The sequence below is a fragment of the Homo sapiens genome, chromosome 9 (genome assembly GCF_000001405.40).
Source record: "Homo sapiens chromosome 9, GRCh38.p14 Primary Assembly".
Taxonomy (NCBI): domain Eukaryota; kingdom Metazoa; phylum Chordata; class Mammalia; order Primates; family Hominidae; genus Homo; species Homo sapiens.
In genome coordinates this window covers 38,437,104-38,458,540 of record NC_000009.12, presented here as the reverse complement: position 1 = coordinate 38,458,540, position 21,437 = coordinate 38,437,104, and the positions used below count along the sequence as shown (strand labels likewise).

General features: G+C 42.6%; 1 long non-coding RNA gene and 1 pseudogene across 4 annotated transcripts in view, besides 1 other annotated feature; one reads left to right on the top strand and one right to left on the bottom strand.

The window, feature by feature from the left end:
• The window catches only part of LOC105376041 (uncharacterized), a 52,879-nt gene that overhangs the window by 18,949 nt on the left and 12,493 nt on the right, over positions 1-21,437 (bottom strand). For all 4 annotated transcript variants that reach the window (XR_007061486.1, XR_007061487.1, XR_007061485.1 and 1 more), the window contains 3 exons: positions 20,689-20,852; positions 2,348-2,423; positions 73-173 (listed from right to left, as the gene is read on the bottom strand). This is a non-coding gene — a long non-coding RNA (uncharacterized LOC105376041). The remainder of the gene's footprint in view (positions 1-72; positions 174-2,347; positions 2,424-20,688; positions 20,853-21,437) is intronic.
• ARMC8P1 (armadillo repeat containing 8 pseudogene 1) lies at positions 4,078-5,816 on the top strand (annotated as a pseudogene).
• Positions 15,055-15,349: an enhancer, noted in NCBI's record as "tiled region #10144; HepG2 Activating DNase matched - State 5:Enh". NCBI's record gives its function as "activates a minimal TATA promoter and a strong SV40 promoter by Sharpr-MPRA in HepG2 cells {active_cell/tissue: HepG2}" and the evidence as "EXISTENCE:reporter gene assay evidence [ECO:0000049][PMID:27701403]".

The window sequence follows — 21,437 nt, the reverse complement described above, 5'->3', positions numbered from 1 at the left end:
CTATCTGACCTCATAATTGGCATTGGCTCCAACCACAGGATACCCCAAGCTTTAGGGGTTGACTCAACTCACATGATAATGCCAAAGCAGTTCCCCAGCAGGTAAGAGGTATCATCTCTCTGTCTACAATGCTCTCATCTTTGAAGGAAGGACAAGATCAACATGATGAAGAGCTGTAAGAAGAGAAGATGAGAGTTAGTGGGCATGTTCATTCTCAGCATGGCCTCTGAGCCCTCCCTGAAAACAAACGTGTGGGTTAGCAGAGTGCACAGAACATTAGTGACACCTCAAACTCCAGAGCCAGGGGGCTGACTGCATGCACTCTTGAGCTACCAGAATGTTCTGTACTGAGCCTTTCCTTTTGTTTCCCTGAACAGATGTATGTTCAAATCTGGTCTCTCTCACATCCTGGTTGAGAGAGAGATTTAACTTTTCTGTACCTCAGTTTCCTCTTCTGTCAAAAGGCAGTAATAACTGCCAGGTTGCAAAGGCTTCTTTGCTGCTTTTCTGTGGATTCAGTCATGTTCTCACAAACTTGATGCTCTTTCTCTCTCCTGCCTTTATCAGAAACTTCTTGAGAATTGTCTACACTTGTGTCTCCATTCCCTCACCTCTCACTGGCTCCTCAACCCCCGAACCTGGCTTCTACCCTCATCACTCTGCTGAAACAGCTATGGCCAAAGTCACTGATGACTGTTTTGTGGCTTGGTCCCGTGTATACTTGAAGTCCAAATCTAGCTTCATCTCCCAGCAGCATTCTACAATGTTGACCATTCCCTCTTCTTTGAGTACTCTCTTCCCTAGGCCTTCATTACAACCATGTTTTCTTGATTTTTCCCCATTATTCCTCAGCATTCTCTGCTGGATCACTCTTTACCCCAGCCCTTGCTGCAGAGTTCCTTATAGCTCAGTCCAAGGGCTACTCATCTTACCTGGTCTTCTCTTGGTGATCTCATTTATGTCGCCCAGGACGGTCTCAAAGTCCTGGCCTCAGGTGATCCTTCCACCCTGGCCTCCCAAAGCACTGGGATTACAGGTGTGAGCCATTGTGCCTAGCCTCATGTCCATGTTTTAATAACCATAAATACGCAGAAGACTTAAATTTGAATCTCCAGCCCCGACCTTGTCCATAAGCTCCAAAACTATTTAGCCAACTACACAGTTGATATTTCTTTTTAATGTATTGAAAGCTTCTCAAAGCTTGTATCAAAAGCTTCAGTATGCATCTTTTTATTTGAGACAGCGTCTCACTTTGTCACCCACGCTGGAGTGCAGTAGCACAACCACGGCTGACTGCAGACTCAAATTCCCAGGCTCAGCTGATCCTCCCACCTCAGCCTCCTGGGTAGCTGGGACCACAGGCACATGCCACCACCCCCAGCTAATTTTTGTAGAGATGAGGTTTTGCCATGTTGCCCATCCTGTTCTCAAACTCCTAGACTCAAGTGATCTACCTGCCTCGGCCTCCCAAAGTGCTGGGATTACAGGCAGGAGCCACTTTGCCTGGCCAAGTATGTCTTATATCTGCCCCAAACCTGGATCTCTTCTAATGTTCCTTAATGAGTAAATGACAGCTACCATCATCCTTTCATTGTGCAAGTTAGAAACCTAAGTCATCCTCAACCTGCCCCTCTCCCTAACCTTCCTATCCAGCCCATTACAAGTCCTATTGTTTTCACCTCCTGAACTTCTGGAGTTGACATCATCATCTAGGATGTGATAAAATCACGTCTCACCTGGATCCCTGCAAGTCTCCCAGTTGGTCTTCCTGCCTCATCTCTTGCCCACCTCCAACTCGATCTCCGCATTGCAACCAGAGAGATCATTTAAAAACATAAATCTGATCACACCATCTTCATGCTGGAAACACTTCCATTATTTCCTACTGTACTTAGAATGAAGGCAAAACTAAACACAGAGCCCCAAAGGGCTCTGCCTGGCCTGCCCCGCCCACCTCCCCAGACCTCTCTGCCTCAATTCCTCACTCCAGCCATGGCTGAACTTCTCAGCTCTTCCCACTCTGCCTTCTCCCTCCCTCCCCAGAGCCTCTGCATGTGCTCTCCCCTTCTGTCTGCAATATCCTTAACTACATCTTCCAACTGACCTCAGAGCCATCATTACTTCATTGGAAAAGCCTGTTTCACTCTCCTAAAAGTCCATATGCCTGATTCTCGGGCCCACAAAGCCTTCTTCTGCCATATTTTTGGTATATAATGTAAGACATTTTAGAAGGAAACTCAGCTGATCTCTTTCCTCTGATCTACTCAGGTCTCTTTGGGAATCTGTGTTTGGCAGCAGCCCAGCTGCCCTTTCCTGCCCTCCTCACCCTTCCCCTGCCTTTACTTACTGATGGGATGAGGGAATAATGAAGGAAGAGCTCCATGTCCACCGAGCTGGTACAAGTGCCATTTAACTGCCTGGTCCTGCAAAATGGCCAAAAACATCACATTCATATCATCAGTCATTGCTGTTGTCATTCACACTTTAGTCTTGAACATCACTGTCAAGAAGTTTGGCCTAAGACCATCCGCTAAGACCATCTGATCTTTTTAAATTTCACTTTCTGAGAGCCAAGGCTGCTCACCTGTAGTGTGTCTTCCCTAAGTGGAATAATCTTTCATACTTTTTTCTTCAGCTTGATTATTTATCCAACTTCTCTGCTAACTGAAACTAAGTCCTTCATTTAGGGGCAGAATCCAGTTCTGTGGGGCTAAAAGCTTATATAATTTGGGCATGTTTTTAAAGCAATACTACAAAATGTCTTACTTTTTCATATTTTAAGGGAGACATATGACCATGTAAACACCTAATCAGGGTTCTTCCCACTCTCCCAGAGCCTTGGAAGGGTCCTGTGTGAGTGAGGGGCCCTGAGACTAAAGCATCCTTCACAAGAAATTAGCACTGGTCAAGGTCAAGAAACATCAGCTCACACCTGAGCCACTGCTGGGCTGTTGGGGCAGGAGAGAGATTACTGGACTACAGGCTGCAGACTCTGTTCTCTCCAGCCCCCACTATCTGTGGAACAGGACTGTCATTGTCTCATGTCTAAAACACATGGCAGTAGTGTTACGGCTTCTCTTCAAAGAGATGCCTCCTTTCTGGGACTCCCACCACACTTTGTTCTTTCTGCTCTGATCCCCACAAGGCCACCACAACACACTCTATCATATATGTCCACATTTTTGTTCATGCTTTTCCCAACTCCTACACCATCCACCAGCCAGCCGGCCATCTGCTGACCTTTTTTCCCTAGACAGCACCTACTGTTCCCTCAGACGTCTCAGAGAAGAGGACTCCTCTGGGGATTCCATAAGCTTGGCATATTCCCCAGTAAGTCTTTAAAATGCCAGTGCTCCACAGTTATGTCTAACCATGGATCTGAAATATCTGATAAGTGGTGGGGAGGGGGTGGATGAGACCCAAACTGTCAGATATGTGATAGAACTGTAAAAGTCAGACTTCTGCTTTTAGGGAGGTAAACAGAGTATATATACCAGTCTCCTCATCCCATACAAAACCCTCAAAATGATAAGAAAGAAAGAAGGAAGGAAGGAAAGAAAGAAAGAAAGAAAGAGAGAGAGAAAGAAAGAGAAGGAAGGAAGGAAAGAAAGAAAGAGAAAGAAAAAAGAAAGAAAGAAAGAAAGGAAGAAAGGAAGGAAGGAAGAAAAAAAGGAAGGAAGAAAGGGAAGGAAGGGAGGAGAAAGAAAGAGAAAGAGAGAGAGAGAGAATGCATAACCATACTAGAAAGCAAGAAGGGGCTCTATCAGGGACATGGAAATTACCAGAAGACCCTGAAAGATAGAGAGCAACTGGGACTAGATCAGAGTAAAGGCATCAGCCATCATGGCCCCAGACTGTAAGAGCACTCAGGATGTGCTCAATACCCATAGTACAAGAAGTGGAAGCAGAATGGGGCTGGCAACAGACCACAGGAGAAGGAGGAAGAGGAGGAAAAGGAGGATAAGAGGAAGGAGGAAAAAGAATTCTGAAACTTTAAGACAGGTCTTTTGAAATAACCTAGTCAGAAAAGAAAATGAGAATAAAAAATAAAAGAAAATGAGAATAAAAAAGAATGAGAGCAGCCAAACGGGAAGGCTCAAGATGGTGTGCCTGTTGGAGACCCCAATCTGCATGAGCTTCCTCTCAGACCATGAATGAAAGTTACTGGAATTCTCCAGTCCTGTCACTCCAAAGGAGCTACTGTTTACAGATGCCACAGTGACACCGCACCTCATGGCACTGCTTAGCAGGTTCCACTATATCCAGGAGTACATCGGTCGGATCGTCTCACACTGCTGTAAAGGGGCCAGATCATCAAACAATTTTATTTAGCCGTGGTGCAGTTAAGAATATTGCTCACCTACTAACCTCATTTTCTACAAAGTTCAAATGCAAGCACTGAAATGTTTCTCAGTTTTACCCTGGTAAATGTTTTAGTTGATGGAGAATTGTTATCACAGATTTTTGTGACGATGTTACAGAGGGATAAGCATATTGAGATGCAGCTTACATCAGCAAAATGTTTAACTTACATGTATACAGCTGGAGCAATTCAGACAGATAACAACTGTATTAAAGACATTGCCTTATTTGGTTCAAACATGCAGTAAGAAGAGATTACTAGAGGAGAGAGTTAAAGGAGCTGAGACACTTGCCTATCTGATTGAACCAGATATTGAGCTACAGAGAATCGCTAGTGTAACTGATCACCTCATCGCCATGTTTGCTGACTATTTCAAGTATCCCAACTCATTGAGTGCCATCACTGATAGTAAAAGGCTTGATCATGATTTAAAACATGCTCATGAACTCTGCCAGGCTGCATTCAATCTCTACGACTCTCTTAGAGCAAATGATGAAGACATTCAGAAGAAAAGCCCTGAGACTGAAAATATGATGGACTGAATTGTGACTGGCTTGTCTGAGTCTAGTGTCAAGGTGCGGTTACCTGCTCTCAGATGTTTGCACCATTTATCCAGATCTGTGCAGCAGCTTCAAAACAGTTTCTAGGATCACACTCTGTGAAAACCTTTAATGAAGGTTTTACAAAATGCACCAGATGAAATCCTAGTAGCAGCATCTTCCATGGTATATAATCTTCTTGAATTTTCTCCAAGGAAAGAGTCAATTTTAAAATCAGGAGTTGTAAAGCTACTTTGTGGATTAACCCAGAGTGAAAATCCTGCTTTATGAGTGAGCAGAATTTGGGATTTAATGAATATGGCATTTCAGGCTGAACAAAAAATAAAAGCAGACATGTTACAAAGCTTGAGTGCTGAACAGCTATTCTGGTTATTATCAGATTCAGATTTGAATGTCCTGATGAAGACACTGGGACTTCTTAGAAATATCCTCTTGACCTGGCTTCATATAATAAAATAATGAGTACTCATGGAAAGTAAATTATGCAAGCTGTCATCCTTATTCTGGAAGGGGAACATAACTTTAAGGTCAAAGAGTAGATACTGTGCATCTTAGCCAATATAAAAGATGAGACAACAGCAAAAGAATGTATTATGACCAATGATGATATCCTTCAGAAAATCAAATATTACATGGACCATTCACATGTCAAACTGCAGCTTCCAGCTATGTTTTGTATATCAAACCTCATATGGAATGAAGAAGAAGGTTCACAAGAATGCCAGGATAAATTATGAGACATGGGCATCATAGATATTCTACATAAACCGAGTCAGCCACCAGATTCAGACCTTTGTGACAAGGCAAAGATGGCACTGCAGCAGTACCTGGCATGATGAGAGCGCCCCTAGGCACCTGTGAGCATCCTACATCCTTGTTTAAGAAAGTACAGGTGGCTCACGCCTGTAATCTCAGCACTTTGGGAGGCTGAGGCAGGCGGATCACGAGGTCAGGAGATCAAGACCATCCTGGCTAACACGGCGAAACCCCATCTCTACTAAAAATACAAAAAATTAGCTGGGCGTGATGGCAGGTGCCTGTAGTCCCAGCTACTTGGGAGGCTGAGGCAGAAGAATGGCATGAACCCAGGAGGCAGAGGTTGCAGTGAGCTGAGATCACACCACTGCACTCCAGCCTGGGTGACAGAGTGAGACTCCACCTCAAAAAAAAAAAAAAAAAAAAGAAAAAGAAAGTACAGAAACCAGTTTCATTTGATTCCTTCTATTTGCACAAGTTGCCTTGGACTGCAGGGAGCTGTTGTGCAAAAGTAATTTAGTAGGCTTAGATCTCAAATTCACCTTGAGAACATTTTTTGAGGTAGTAATTTCCTCAGAAGATTACTGTGTTTTGTTTTAGTTTTTTCTTAGCTACATGGACTCTTTATTAGAACAATCAGTCGTTTTCCTTTGGACCTACAATCTTTTGCCTATGCTGCAGCCACTTTGTGAGTGAGAATGAATATGTCTGTGTGAACACACAGGTGTGCGTGTGTGTGTGTGCACATGTACCTGGGCCAGAATGAATGTATATGTGTGTATGAGGGATACCTCACATTTTTCTTTCCTCATTTTGTGTGAAAATGTCTTTTCTACAGATTTTCCAGGTTTTAAGCATTGCTTGCTGTACAAAAACTTTACTGAATTATATAAAGTTTGAATGAAATGTTATTTTAAATACAAAACAATTGTTAAGTGTTCAATAAAGGTTATGCTGAATTTTGGTCAGATGAAAACTTGTAAGTAAAAAATATATACATGTCTGAACCTGAAAAAAAAAGAATGAAGAAAGTCAATGAGACTTAAGGGAAATCATTAAGCAAAGAAATAGCTGTACTATAGAAATGCCAGAGGGATAAGAGATAAACAAAGGCACAGAAAATCTATTTGACAAAATAATAGCTGAAAAGTTTACAAGTTTTGGGAGCGACATGGACATCTAGATCCAGGAAGCACAAAGATCCCCAATTAGATTCAACCCAAAAAGATCCTCTCTGAGGCACATTATAATCAAATGGCCAAAAATCAAAGACAAAGAAAGAATTCTAAAAGCTATAAGACAAAAGCATCAGTCACATATAAGGGAATCTCCATTAGAATCTCTGTAGATTTCTCAGCAGAAACCCTGCAGGCAAGGAGAGAATGGGATGACATAGTCAAAGTGCTGAAAAACAAAACAAAACCAAACCCCTGTTAACCAAGAACACAATATCTAGCAAAACTCTCATCCTTCAGAAATGAGAGAGAAATAAAGACCTTCCCAGACAAGCAAAAACTGGGGGGATTTATTACCACTAGACCAGCCTTACCAGAAATGCTTAAAGGAGTGCTGCAACTGGAAGCTAAAAATCAATAACCAGTAGAGGTACATTCATAATCAAACTGATACTACCCCAGTGTTATAATGGTGCTATGTAAATCTTTCATTGCTTTAGTATGAAAAGTAAAAGTCAAAATGGTCAATAAGAGCTACAATTAGTGGCTAAGGAACATGCAATAAAGATATAAATTAAGGCAATGAAAATATAAATTGTGGAAGGAGAACAATAGTATGGAGCATTTTTATGCAACCAAAGTTAAATTATTATCAGCTTAAAGTTGTCTATTATAACTACAAGACTCTGTGTTAGCCCCATAATAACTACAAAAAAAAGAAATTAAAACAGACACACAAACAAGAAAAAGAAAGTAAACAATGCTTAATACCACAGAAAACCACTGAACCAAAGGTAAGCAGTAAGAGAGGAAGAAAAAAGAATCTACCAAACAGCCAGAAAACAATCAAATGGCAGGAGTACATCCTACTTATCAATAATAACCGTGAATATAAATGGATTAAATTCTCCAATTTAAAGTGAGCTCCTGAATGGATTTAAAAACAAGACCCAACTATATGCTCCCTACAAGAGACTAGCCTCACTGGTAGACAAGCATAGACTGAAAGTAAAGGAATGGAAAAAGATATTTCATGCAAACAGATACCAAAAGTGAGCAGGAGTACTCATACTCCTGAAAGGATAAAAGAGCTAGACATTTTATCAGATAAAATAGATTTTAAGTAAAAAACTATAAAAAGCAACAAAGGAGGTCATTATCTAATGACAAAGGAATCAATCCAACAAGTGGATTAACAACTGTAAATACATATACACTCAACACTGAAGCACCCTAATATATGATGAATATATAATATTATGAATACTATATCATGAAGCACCCTAACATAAATGAATATTATTAGCTCTAAAAGGAGAGACAGATTGTTAATACAATAACAGTAGGGTACTTCAGCATCCCCCTTTCAACAACGGACAGATCATCTAGACAGCAAATCATGAAAGAAACATTAGACTTAGGCCAGGCATGGTGGCTTATGCCTATAATCCCAATGCTTTGGCAGTCCAATGCAGGAGGATCACTTGAGGCCAGGAGTTCAAGATTAGCCTGGGCAACATAGCAAGACTCCTTCTCTATAAAAATTTTTAAAAGTTAGTTGATCTCGGTGGCACATGCCCTGTCTCTATAAAACAAACAAACAAAAAACAACAACAAACAAACAAAAAACAAGAAACAGCAGACTTAAACTGCTCATAGTCCAAATGGACTTAACAGACGTACAGAACATTCCACCCAGCACTGCAGAATACACATTCTTCTCAACTGCACATGGAACATTCTCCAGGATAGATCATGTATTAGGCCACAGAATAGGTCTTAACAAATGCAAGATGCTGAAATCATTTCAAGAATTTTTTTATTGACCACAATGGTATAAAAACTAGAAATCAATAACAGAAGGAACACTACAACAGAAGTACAAATGTATGGAAATTAAACAACATGCTCCCAAATAACCACTAGGTCAATGAAGAAATTAAAGAGGGAATTTTAAAATTTATTGAGGAAAAATAAGAGTGGAAACACATTGTATCAAAACCAATGGGACACAGCAAAAGCAGTTCTAAGGGGGAAGTGTACAGCCATAAATACCTACATCAAAAAAGAAGAAAGATTTCCAATAACCTAATGACACACCTCAAGGAACTAGAAAAACAGAAACAAACCAAACCCCAAATTGTTAGAAATAAGTAAGTAATAAAGTCGAGGTCAGAAATAAATGAAACAAGGCCAAGAAAAGCAATTTTTACTTCATTTATTTTTTATTTTTTTATTTTTTTTGAGATGGAGTCTTGCTCTGTCACCCAGGCTGGAGTGCAGTGGTGTGATCTCAGCTCACTGCAACCTCTGCCTTCCAGGTTCAAGTGATCCTCATGCCTCAGCCTCCCCAGTAGCTGGAATTATAGGCTTCCACCACCATGCCCAACTAATTTTTGTATTTTTAGTACAGACAGGGTTTCACCATGTTGCCCAGGCTGGTCTCCAACTCCTGACCTCAGGTGATCCACCTGCCTCAGCTTCCCAATGTGATGGGATTACAGGCATGAGCCACCACACCAGGCCAAAAAAAAAGCCATTTTTAAAAACTTAGCAAAAAAGAGTTCTTTTTTCTGAAAAGATAAAATCAACAAACCTTTAGCTAGACTAACAACAAAGAGAGAAGATGCAAATAAAGTCAGAGATGAAAAAGGATACATTACAACTGACATCACAGAAATACAAAGGATCATAAGAGACTCATGAATCACAACTATAAGCAAACAAATTTGAAAACATAAAAGAAAAGGATAAATGCCTAGACACATATAACACCTGAAGGTTAAATTATGAAGAAATAGAAAACCTGAATAGAGAAAAACAAGTGAGAAAATTGAATCAGTAATAAAAAGTCTTTCATCACAAAAAGTCCTTGAGCCAATGGCTCTGCTGCTAAATTCCATCAGACATTTAAAGAATAGCTAATATCAATTCTTCTCAAACTATTCCAGAAAATTGAGGAAAGGGGAATAGTTCCAAATGCATTTTACAAGGCCAGCATTATGCTGATTCCAAAACCAGATGAGGGCACACAATAGAACAAAACTACAGGCCAATATCTCTGATAAACATAGATGCAAAAATTCTCAACAAGGTATTGACAAACCAAATTCAATAGCACATTAAAAATATCATTCACTATCATCAAGTGAGGTTCATCCCAGGGATGCAAAGATAGTTCAATAAATGCATTTCAATACATGTGATACACCACATTAACAGAAAGAAAGACGAAAACCACATGATCACTTCATTAAATGCTGAAAAAGCATTTGACAAAATTCAGTATCCCTTCAAAATAAAAACTCTCAACAAAGTAGGCATAGAATACATGTACCTCGATCCAATAAAGGCCATGTATGACAAACCCACAGCTAACATAATACTGAATGGGGGAAAGCTGAAAGATTTTTCTCTAAGTTCAGGAATAAGACAAGGATGCCCACTTTCACCACTTCTATTCAACATAGTACTGGAAGTCCTGACCAGAATAATTAAGCAAGAAAAAAAAATAAAAGGCATTCATATTGGAAATGAGGAAGTCAAATCGTTTCTATTTGCAGATGACATAATCTTATATCTAGAAAGTCTTAAAGACTTGACAAAAAACTATTAGAACTAGGAAATGAATTCAATAAGGTGTCAGAAGGCCAAATCAAAATATAAAAATATCATTGCTATACAAGGAAGGAAGGAAGGAAGGAAAGAAGGAGGGGGGGAGGGAGGGAAGGGAGGGAGTGAGGGAGGGAGGGAAGGGAGGGAGGGAGGGAGAGAGGGAAGAAGGGAGGGACTGATGGATGGAGGGAGGGAGGGAAGGAACGGAAGGAAGGAAAAAAGAAAGAAAGAAAAAACAAACAAACAAAAAACCCCCTAGGAATAAACTTAACCAAAGAGGTGAAAGATCTCTACACTGGAAACTATAAAACATTGATAAAAGAAATTAAAGAGGACACAAATAAATAGAAAGATGGTCCATGTTCATACACTGAAAGAATTAATGTTGTTAAAATAGCTATAAAATACCCAAAGCAATCTATAGATTTAATGCAATCCCTATCAAAACACCAATAATATTCTTCACAGAAATGTAAAAAACAATTCTAACATGTATATGGAATCACAAAAATCTCCAAATAGCCAAAGCAATCCTGAATAAACCTGGAGGCATCACACTATTTGACTTTAAAATATACTATTAATACAAAGCTATACTAACCCAAACAGCATGGTATTGGCATAAAAAGAGGCATGTAGAACAATGGCACAGAACAGAGAGCCCAGAAATGAATTCATAAATCTACAACTAACTGATTTTTCACAAAGGTGCCATGAACACACATTGGGGAAAGGACACTCTTTTCAATAAATGGGGCTGGAAAAATTGGATATCCAAATGCAGAAAAATGAGACACCCCCACTACCTCTCACCACATACAAAAATCAAATCAAAATGGATTAAAGACTTAAATGTAAAACTTAAAACTACGAAACTATGAGAACATCAGGGAAATGCTTGATGATATTTGGGCTGGGCAAGGATTTTTAAAGTAAGCCCTCAAAAGCACAGGCAACAAAAGCAAAAATGACAAACGGGATTATACCAAATAAAAAGCTTTTGTGCAGTGAAGGAAAGAGCTGACAGAGTGACAAGACAACCTACAGAATGGGATAAAAGATTTGCAAACTATCTGACAAGGAGTTAATACCCAGAATATATAAGCAACTTAAACAACTCAACAGCACAACTAGTTATTTAACCCAACTAAAAAATGGGCTAAAGACCTTAATAGCCATTTCTCAAAAGAAGACATACAAATGGCCAACATGAAAAATTTCAACATCACTAATCATTAGGGAAAATGCAAATCAAAACCACAATGAGATACCACCTCACTACAGTTAGAATGGCTATTCAAAAAGACAAAACAAGTGTTGGTGAGGATGTGAAGAAAAGGCAACATTTACACACTTTTGGTGGGAATGTAAATTAGTACAGCCATTATGGAAAACAGTATAGAAGTTCCTCAAAAAAATTGAAACTAGAACTACCATATAATCCAGCAACCCCCAGTATGGGTATTTATCCAAAGAAAATGAAATCAGTATATCAAAGAGGTATTTGCACTCCCATGTTTACTGCAGCACTATTCACAATAGCCAAGGTACAGAATCAACCCATGTGTTCAACAACAAATGAATGGATAAAGAAATTGTGGTGCATACACAGTGGAATACTATTGAGCCATAAAAAAGAATGCAATCCTATCATTTGCAACAACATGCACGAGCCCGGAGGACATTATGTTAAGTGAAATAAGCCAGACACAGAAAGACAAATACCAAATGATCTTACTCAGATGCAGAATCTTTTAAAAAGGTGATACAGAAGTAGAACAGTAGTTACCAAAAACCAGGGAGGGAATGGGAGAAGGAAGAATGGGGAGAAGTTGGTGAATGGGTATGAAGTGATAATTAAATAAGATTAATAAATTCTGGTGTTCTATTGCACAGTAGGGTAACTCTAGCTAACAGTAAGGTATTGTATACTACAAAATAGCTGAAGCAGAGGTTTTTAATGTTCTCAACATAAATAAATGATAAATGTGTAAGACAATAGGTATACTAACTATCCAGATTTGATCATTGTACAGCACATGCATAAACCAAAACATCAAATTGTGTTCCGTAAATATGTAGAATTACAATGTGTCAATTAAATTTTTATTTTAAAGGATAAATACAATGAGGGTCAATCTGAAGAGTGACATACACCTACATGCTGCATCTAGAACACAGTTATCTATATTCCTCCCTCCATTCTCCAACATGTGCCACTGATCGTCTTTGCCGGCAGGGGCGGGGTGGCGTCTCCCACATCCTTCTGCTTTTTTTGGTCCTAACATGATCACTCTGTAGTAGTAAGTTAAACCTATGATAGTAGCTTTCACTGATTGGTGTCACTTTATTGTGTCCCTATGTCCCAGGTACTCTGCTATTTTATATTACCTAACTCAACCTTTACTAGAATCTTACGAGGTAGGTTGTATCAGCCCCTTTTTAAAATGAGGAACTGAAGCCAGGCGAGGTGTGATGATTTACCCAGGAGGAAGCAAGTGTGGGAGTCAGGCTCCCCTTCACGTCCCCTTCCTCTGTCCCAGTCCTTGGCTCACTCAGGTGGCTTCTTGGAGCTCCAGAGTTTCCTGGCTTTCCAGGCTGTGGCCAACTCACCTCTCACCTCAGAGACCAGTCCAGTGCCTGCCAAACAGGCTCAGGGAATGGTGATTAATTCCATGGGACTCTCTGCCAGGGAACTGAGGCCCAGAGAGCAGAGATCAGAAGCATCAGCTGCCCAGGACTTTTGAGGTCCCTCATTGTGCTCATTGAGCAGGGCGCTGACCACCTTGTGGGCACAGAAGAAACGGTTCCCACTTCTCAGTGCAGAGTGGGTTAGGGAAGGAGGAAGGGGTGTGTGCAGAGTGCGTGTGAGTGTGCATCCATGTGATGCCTTCTGCAATGCAGCCATGTGTACTTTGGGATGTCTGATTCTGCACCAGCCCTGCCCTGCCTTTGTGAATCCCATGAATCCCCTAGTTCATTCCCCAGAATCCTGCCTTGGAGGTCTGAGGTAGATGTAGAGGTGGTGAGGCTGGCTTGTGCCAAATTGGAAGAACCAATTGTCATGCTCTAAGGAATTCTGCAAGCCAGTTGTGAAGCACCACCATTGTTTTTAAAAATTAAATTATATAAACCTATAATTAAATAAGTTATACTAAAAACAAAGATAAAAAAAGACTCAAAACTCATCTCTTCAAGCTGGGCACAGTGGTGGGCACCGATAGTCCCAGATACTCGGGAGGCTGAGGCAGGACGATTTCTTGAGCCCAGGAGTTTGACACCAGCCTGGGCAACACAGTGAGACCCTGTCTCTAAACAACAAAACGCATCACTTCCCTATTGTTTTGCTACCTTTTACTATCATCTATGCTCTTGGGATTATTTACATCTATTGCATCTGTATCATGTAAACACTGTTATGATGTGCTGTTGTGCATCGCTTTCCAACTCCATATTCAGTGACATCACCTCGCTTGACATCAGCCATGGTGGGAGCGTTTATATCATGGCAATAGGCAAACACTACAAAATCAGGGCTTGATTTATTGTTTTGTAGATTGCCTGTAAAGTGACAGAGAAAATGTTAATAATGCAGATTTAAAAACATGTTTGTAGCTATTACAGAGTGCATAGCAGAAATAATTGAGAAAATATTCTTCCAGAATTCAAAAACGTTTACCCCACTCAGCAAAGTAGCTCCTGACAATCAACAAACAAGTCCTGACTTACATCTAGTCTTTGTTGTTTCCCATTTGTCTTACTCCTTAACATAAATAAAAATATCAACCAATAATCATGTCGAAACTATGTTTACTCAGCAATTGCAATCATAGCTTGGCTACAGATGAATTCAGCAGAAATTAAGGAAAGCACTCTATGAGAATTAATTGGCTGAATGGAATTTGCAATAAAGATATTGTACATGTTTTATTTGTCAATTATGTAAAATGTATTATATCAGTATAATTTATAATAAGCTTATATATACATATGCATACTTTTTCAAGAGCCAGTTCTGATACATTTCCCAGCATACCACTGGGCACAAGTGACCTCGGCTCTGGCATTTCCTAAAATAATGAAGATGTCAGAGTTTCTAGGACCAAGGTCAACATTAACTATGCTTTAGAGGAAAGACAACAAGGGTAAATAAAAGAACTCAAGAGAAAGCCAGTGCCCCACCCTATGCTCTTCTCTCTATGCTCTGCATTGCACAAATCCTTTTTCCCTACTTTGTAAAATGAGGACATTGGACCAGACAAAATTTTTTAACTACCAGTCACAATTGTATGTGTTACATATATAACACACGACTCATAGTTACAATTATGACCCAGTTGAGATGCGTGTGTGCACACATGCATGTTTAACAAATTTCTGTGCATGCATGTTTAATGACTTTTCACAAAACAATACCCTTATCATGCTCAGTGCCCTTTGGTAGTCCTAATTTGGTTCAAGTCATTTGTACTCTGTCCCACTCATTTTGTACAATGCTGGTCATAAACACTAAATTGATTTTACAACCCACAAATGGGTTGCAACCAAGTGTTTGGAAAAAGAAAACACAAACAAACTTGACTATCAGATGATGCTAGGGGGCCGTCTGTCCATGAAGGCCTCTGACGCATTCTGCAAATATGTGTCTTCACACTGCAGGATCCTGAACACCCGCGACCTGCTCAGATGTGTAAACAGCAAATGAGGTCAGGTGGAAACTTTAGCTCAGACCTTATCGCCTCTCTGGGCCCTCCTCCTCGCTCCTCCCTGACCCAAAGTCATTCCCTCCTCCCTCCCACTTCTCCTCTCCCAGCCCCACTGAACTTGGCTGAGGGTCCTCTCTAGCACTCATCACATCTTCTTCATGCTATAGGGACGCCTTTCACATCTCATCTCTCGCTTTCCAGTTGTGAGGTTTTCAAAAGCTAGAAACACGTTTTATTCAACTGTGAATTCCAGCCGTCCCTTACCCAACCCCTACCCTGAGCTTCTGGACTTCAGACAAGGTACATAATAAATCCAAGTAAGTGCTTGCTGAATGAATGAGTGAGTGAAGGAAGGAAGGAAGGAAGGAAGGAGAGAATGCAGGAAGGGCAGGTGCCAGGGAGACATACACTCTGCACTGTGTGTACTTGGCCTGCATATGGCTGAGCTGTCTCCTGGCCCCTCATCCACTCGAAGTAGTGGAATCACAGACTAGCACCCACCCACGGGAAGTGTGAATGCCTCTGCACTCTCTGTCACTCTCCCTCCCCACAGGGCAGCCCTGAAGCTCCATTTGGGCACTGTCAGGGGTAGGAACCCTGTACCTCCCAGGCCGACCCTGCCATCTTGCTAAGTGAGCCAGGCTCAGTGGAAAAGCGTGGGCTTTGGAGCCAGGAAGACCATGAGAGTGAGTCCCAGCTCCACCACGCGCCAGCTGTGTGACTGTGGGCAAGCTGTGCCCCTCTCTGGGTCTTACTCTTCTCATCCTGAAAATGGATCCAGTGTCCCCCTTCCAGGGCTCTGTGTGGATGAGATACTATGAGAGTCGAGTGCCTGGCCTCATGCCCAAAGAGCAGTGCTTCTTTTCTCAATCTTTTCCCCGCTTTTGGACAGCTCTGACAAAAGAAAGGTGTTTTTCCTTTCACAGAACTGAAAGGGGACTGCCAGTGGTTGCGTTTCTACCCCCTCGGAGCCTGGACCCTGTCTGCTCCTCTGTCCCCAGAGCATCTGGTAAACAGTGGCGACCTCTCCCATTCCCCACAGGCTCTGCCTTCCATCCCCCAGCCCCAGTCCAGTGCCATGCATGGCTGTGCTCAGCCGAGCTGGCATCCCTGGCCTTCTGCTAGGGCTGAAAGTGCCAAGGACTCCACTACCTTTGGGCCCCTGACCGTGCAGTGAATTGCAGTCCCCACCTGGTTAACCAGGAGCCAGAGCGGCTGCCCATGCCTGGCCCCATGACCAATCTTACCCTTCCCTACTGCAGAAAGACTGACCCAAAGCCCAGCACCTTTGCCTAGCATGGGCCAGGTGCCCTCCTGAGCCACCGACCTCCTTTGAAGCCCTCATGTGAAGAGGCCCAGTCAGGAAAATCCACTTTGAGTCCATCCCAGCTCTGCTGCTAAGCACTGTGGCTCCTTAGGCTCAGGGGCCCCATAGGTCTCTGTTTGCTCACTTCTGAATTGAGGGGATGGGATGGACTGCTTGGGACACGGCCCAGTTTCACAGCCACCTGTCTACTGTTTGGAGCTAACTTTTCATAGGCCTGTGTACCCCACTGGATGGGGAGCTCTTCGAGGGCAGAGGCCCTTCTCATTTAGCTCCCTGTACCCAGCTCCTGCCCATACCTCTGGCAACAGTTGGCACTCACTCATGTTTCCTAAACGGGTGGATGGAAAGCTAACATCCCTCGAGGGTCTACTATGTGCCAAGCTTTGTTTTAAACATTTAGTATGTTTACCACCTCGTTTCATCCTCACAACAGCCCTATGGGAAAGGTACATTATCACCCCATTTCACAGATGAGGAAACTGAGGCACTGAAAGATCTAGAATGTTGTCCAAACTTACACAGCTAGCAAGTTGGGGAGCCAGGCATTGAATGCTAACAATCTGGATGATCGTAAAAGAACTCTCTGACTGCCGAGTTTTGATTTCAATATAATTTTCAGCTCCTATGGCCAGGGCAGTCTGGGCTCTCTCAGAATCAAGATGAGAGAATGGCAGGGGCTTGTGTAGGTTTGAGAACAAACTTCTGTATCAGATCACTTGTACACCACTTTAAGAATTCCCTGGAGAAAGCAGAATTCTTTTCAAAAATGAAATCCAGGCAGGGTGGTGGCTCGAGCCTATAATCCCAGCACTTTGGGAGGCTGACGGGGGAGGATCGCTTGAGCCTAGGAGTTCGAGACCAACCAAGGAAACACAAGGAGACCCCCATCTCTACAAAAAATAAAAGGCTTAGCTGGGCTTAGAGGTGCATGTCTATGGTCCCAGCTATTCAGGAGGCTGAGGTGGGGGGATCACCTGGGCCAGGGAGACCAAGGCTGCAGTGAGCTGTGATTGCACCACTGCACTCCAGCCTGGGTGACGAGTGAGGCTCTGTCTCAAACAAAAACACAAAAATGAAAACTGTGATGAAATAATAGGCTGCCTAGGAGAGGAGGAGGGGATGGGGGAGTATCAATGAAACAAGATTGGCCATGTGTTGACAGTTGTTGAAGCTGGCAGTTCATGATACTATTCCCTTTTCTTTTGCATGGGTTTGCATATTTCCATAATAAAAAGCTTAAATTTTTAAAATAAAATAAGAGGAAGTCCATGACTACCATAAACCCACATAAGTTTGCTGACTGTCTTTCTGGTTGTTTCCCGGTTTCTCCTTTTCCCCTGCAGGCCTGCCTCTGACAGCACCTCAGAGTGTCACATGCGGCCCCGCTGCCTTTCTCTCTTTGTGTGTTGGCTTGTCTCTATGTCTGCCACTTTCTGTGACCTTCTGAGAATCAAGGAAAAGTTCTGCAATCAAGCCCACACATAAACATCCCATTTTTATTTCATTTTCTCCCAGAGCCTCTCTCTTTCTTCTCTGTATGTCCAAATCTCTGTTCTCGTTGTGTTTGCCTTGACTTCTCCATTCATTTTGACCTTGCTGTATGGCTGGCTAGGAATGGTCAGCTCTGGCTGGTACCCCGGACATTAGAAAATGTGCATGGAGGGTATTTTCATGCATGTCTGAAAAGTTCAGAGAGTGCTACCACAAAAAAAATTGGTTGTTGAAGAAGACAAAAACTTTTCTTTTCTACCTCCTTTCTTTCTTAACTGTCTAATAAAGCCATACTCTTTTTCATTTCTTTTCACTTAATAAAAATAACAATAATAATAGCCATTGTTTATTGAATGTGTGCTGTGTGCTGGGCATTTGGATAAGGTTCTTATAGTTATTGTCTCATTTAACCCTTCACAACCTGTGTAACATGTATTCCCACTTCACGGATGAGAAAACTGAGGCTTCAGAGAGGTTAAGTAAAAGCCCAAAGTCACTTAGCTAGAGGCTGGCAGAGCTGGAGTTTGAACCCTTCTTATATTTTCCAAAGAGGAAACATATTCAGGCACTACAATGACATTAAGACATTGATAAAGGTTTCATGTCTGGGGTCCTTAGTGGGGACAGTGACACCCCTCCCCCACCCCTCACTGGTAGACAAATCTGAACTACATGCTCAGGCTGGGCCCTGCCCTGTGAGAAGGACCCTGACCAGCTGAACCATACCCAGGAAGAGGACCGTGATGGAGAGGGGGCCCTGAGAAGGATGGGTAGAAGCTCTCAGGGGCATGGTGCTGACTTCAAAGGAACATCAAGGGTCCAAGGGGCACAGCTGGCACCAAAAGGTAAGCCACATGCTCTGGGTCCATCCTGGACTTTCCCTCTAATTCCAGACCACAAGGCCAATTGTCAGCCTCCTGGTTATCTGTCTCTGGATGTCCCATGGGCACCCCAGTCGAACATGCCCCATCTGAACACCCCAACTTCCTGCTCCTCCCCTGGCATCCTCATCTCAGGAGTGGCACCACCCCCAACCCATTCATCCAAGTCAGGGACCCAAAGTCATCCTCCACTCCTTCCTCTCCAATCCCTGCCAAATCCAGACACATCTCTCCAACCTGACAGCCACCACCTTCGTCTAGGCCACTGTCCCCTTTGTCTGGACTATCTCAGTAGCCTCCTGCTTGGGCTCCTACCTCCTAACCATTTTCCATCCTGTGACCAGAGGGATCTTCCTAAAAATCCTCCTCTTAGCCTTTCCCTTCTCCCAGCCCAAGGGGCCAGCTGGAGACAGGGAGGAAAGGAAAAATGCTCTCAGACCTTCCAGTTCCAGTCTTTGCCCACCTCTGGCTGCCTCCTGTGCTCCCTGTCCACTGGTCTTGCAAGCCGTCCCTCTGGTCTGTTTCCAGCCTCAGGTCTTTTCCATCCACTGCACTCAGGCTCCCTCCTTCTTCCCGTGGGTGGGATTCTGGGAATCTCCTTTCCCAAGTGACTCTTATTATCCCTGTTGGTGTTTTCTTTTTTTTTTAAATTTTATTATTATTATTATACTTTAAGTTTTAGGGTACATGTGCACAACATGCAGGTTTGTTACATATGTATACATGTGCCACGTTGGTGTGCTGCACCCATTAACTCATCATTTACATTAGGTATATCTCCTAATGCTATTCCTCCCCACTCCCCGCACCCCACAACAGTCCCCAGAGTGTGATATTCCCCTTCCTGTGTCCATGTGTTCTCATTGTTCAGTTCCCACCTATGAGTGAGAACATGCGGTGTTTGGTTTTTTGTCCTTGTGATAGTTTGCTGAGAATGATGGTTTCCAGTTTCATCCATGTCCCTACAAAGGACATGAACTCATCATTTTTTATGGCTGCACAGTATTCCGTGGTGTATATGTGCCACATTTTCTTAATCCAGTCTATCATTGTTGGACATTTAGGTTGGTTCCAAGTCTTTGCTATTGTGAATAGTGCCGCTGTAAACATACGTGTACATGTGTCTTTATAGCAGCATGATTTATAATCCTTTGGGTCTATACCCAGTAATGGGATGGCTGGGTCAAATGGTATTTCTAGTTCTAGATCCCTGAGGAATCGCCACACTGACTTCCACAATGGTTGAACTAGTTTACAGTCCCACCCCTGTTGGTGTTTTCTTGGCTCATTTCCCTCTTTGATCCCCCACAGTTCAAAACAGATATTGTGACGCCAGAAGTGATGGTTGGATTTTTTGTTATATTTTGGAGTAGGCTTTCAGTTCTTGGATCTAAAACATTTGAAGGTTAGAATAAGAATTCTTAATTCCTGCCATCGGGGCAAGACTTTACAGATCTCGAATCCTTTCACATTCTTGTTCTCATATGATCTTCACAAAGCTGTGGTTTAGGTAAGGCAGGGGGTATCACCCCTGATTCAGAGATGAGGAAACTCCAGGATTTGAACCCAGGCCCCCTAACAACACATCTGGGCTCTGCCCACTCCACTCTGTCTCTGAACTGAAGATGAAAGGAAATCTATTCGCTGACCAAGTAACCTATCTATGTCATTTCCTCCATGCCAGCCTGTCTACAAATTAGCTAAAACATGCCTTTCTCCTGGTTTTCATTAAACACCAGCATCAAAGAAGACAGTTGCTAGGAACATGCCGCTATCCAGCATGACTTGTCTCAGATCTGCCTCTTAAAGCTTACCTGGTGTTTTTGGGAAGCATCTTGGAGCAAGGGTACCACGTGCAGCCCTGGTGGGCAACGCGTTGGCAAAGGAGGCTTCTCTCAATTGTTCTTCAGGCTCCTCTGGGCTCTTGGATGTCACTGCTTCTGATGAGCTGATGTTCTGCCCAGTTCTCGTCACAGCACTGAAAAACTCAGAGAAAAGGCAAACTTCCAGCAAATATTTACCTAAGAAATGAAAGCAAGCAGGCAGCCCACTTCCTCATTCCAGAACACTGCTGACTATTCAGCTCTTCCTCCCCTTCTCATGCTGCAAATGTAGGACTTACACTCCTATTTCCTCTCTCCTGGGCTCTTGTGGACCCTTTCAAGCTCCTGCTGTGGGCACCATCCCCCTGAGCTGTCAGAGCTTCGCCCAGCAGCCATGGCCCCTTTGGTTAGCTGTAAAAATTATTACCGGAAATAAACTAGGACTCTGCCTTAAGGCAACACACTAGGACCACGGGCTTCCAGATTCTCTTGGAAACAAAGCAGCCCATTCGCGAGGAGAACAGGCCGGAGACAAGTTCAGAACTGAATTCCAACCACATGGCAGGACACGCTAGCTGTCCACCAGGTGTTCCTGCTCCCTTTCTATAAAGTAAGGATCTTTTCATCCCAGGCCATACTTCCCAGCCACCCCAGCATCTAGGGACAGACATGGACTAGGTCTCACCCATGGAGTGTGAGCCAAAGTGATGTGTGTCACTTCTAGGCCAAGATGGCCAAGG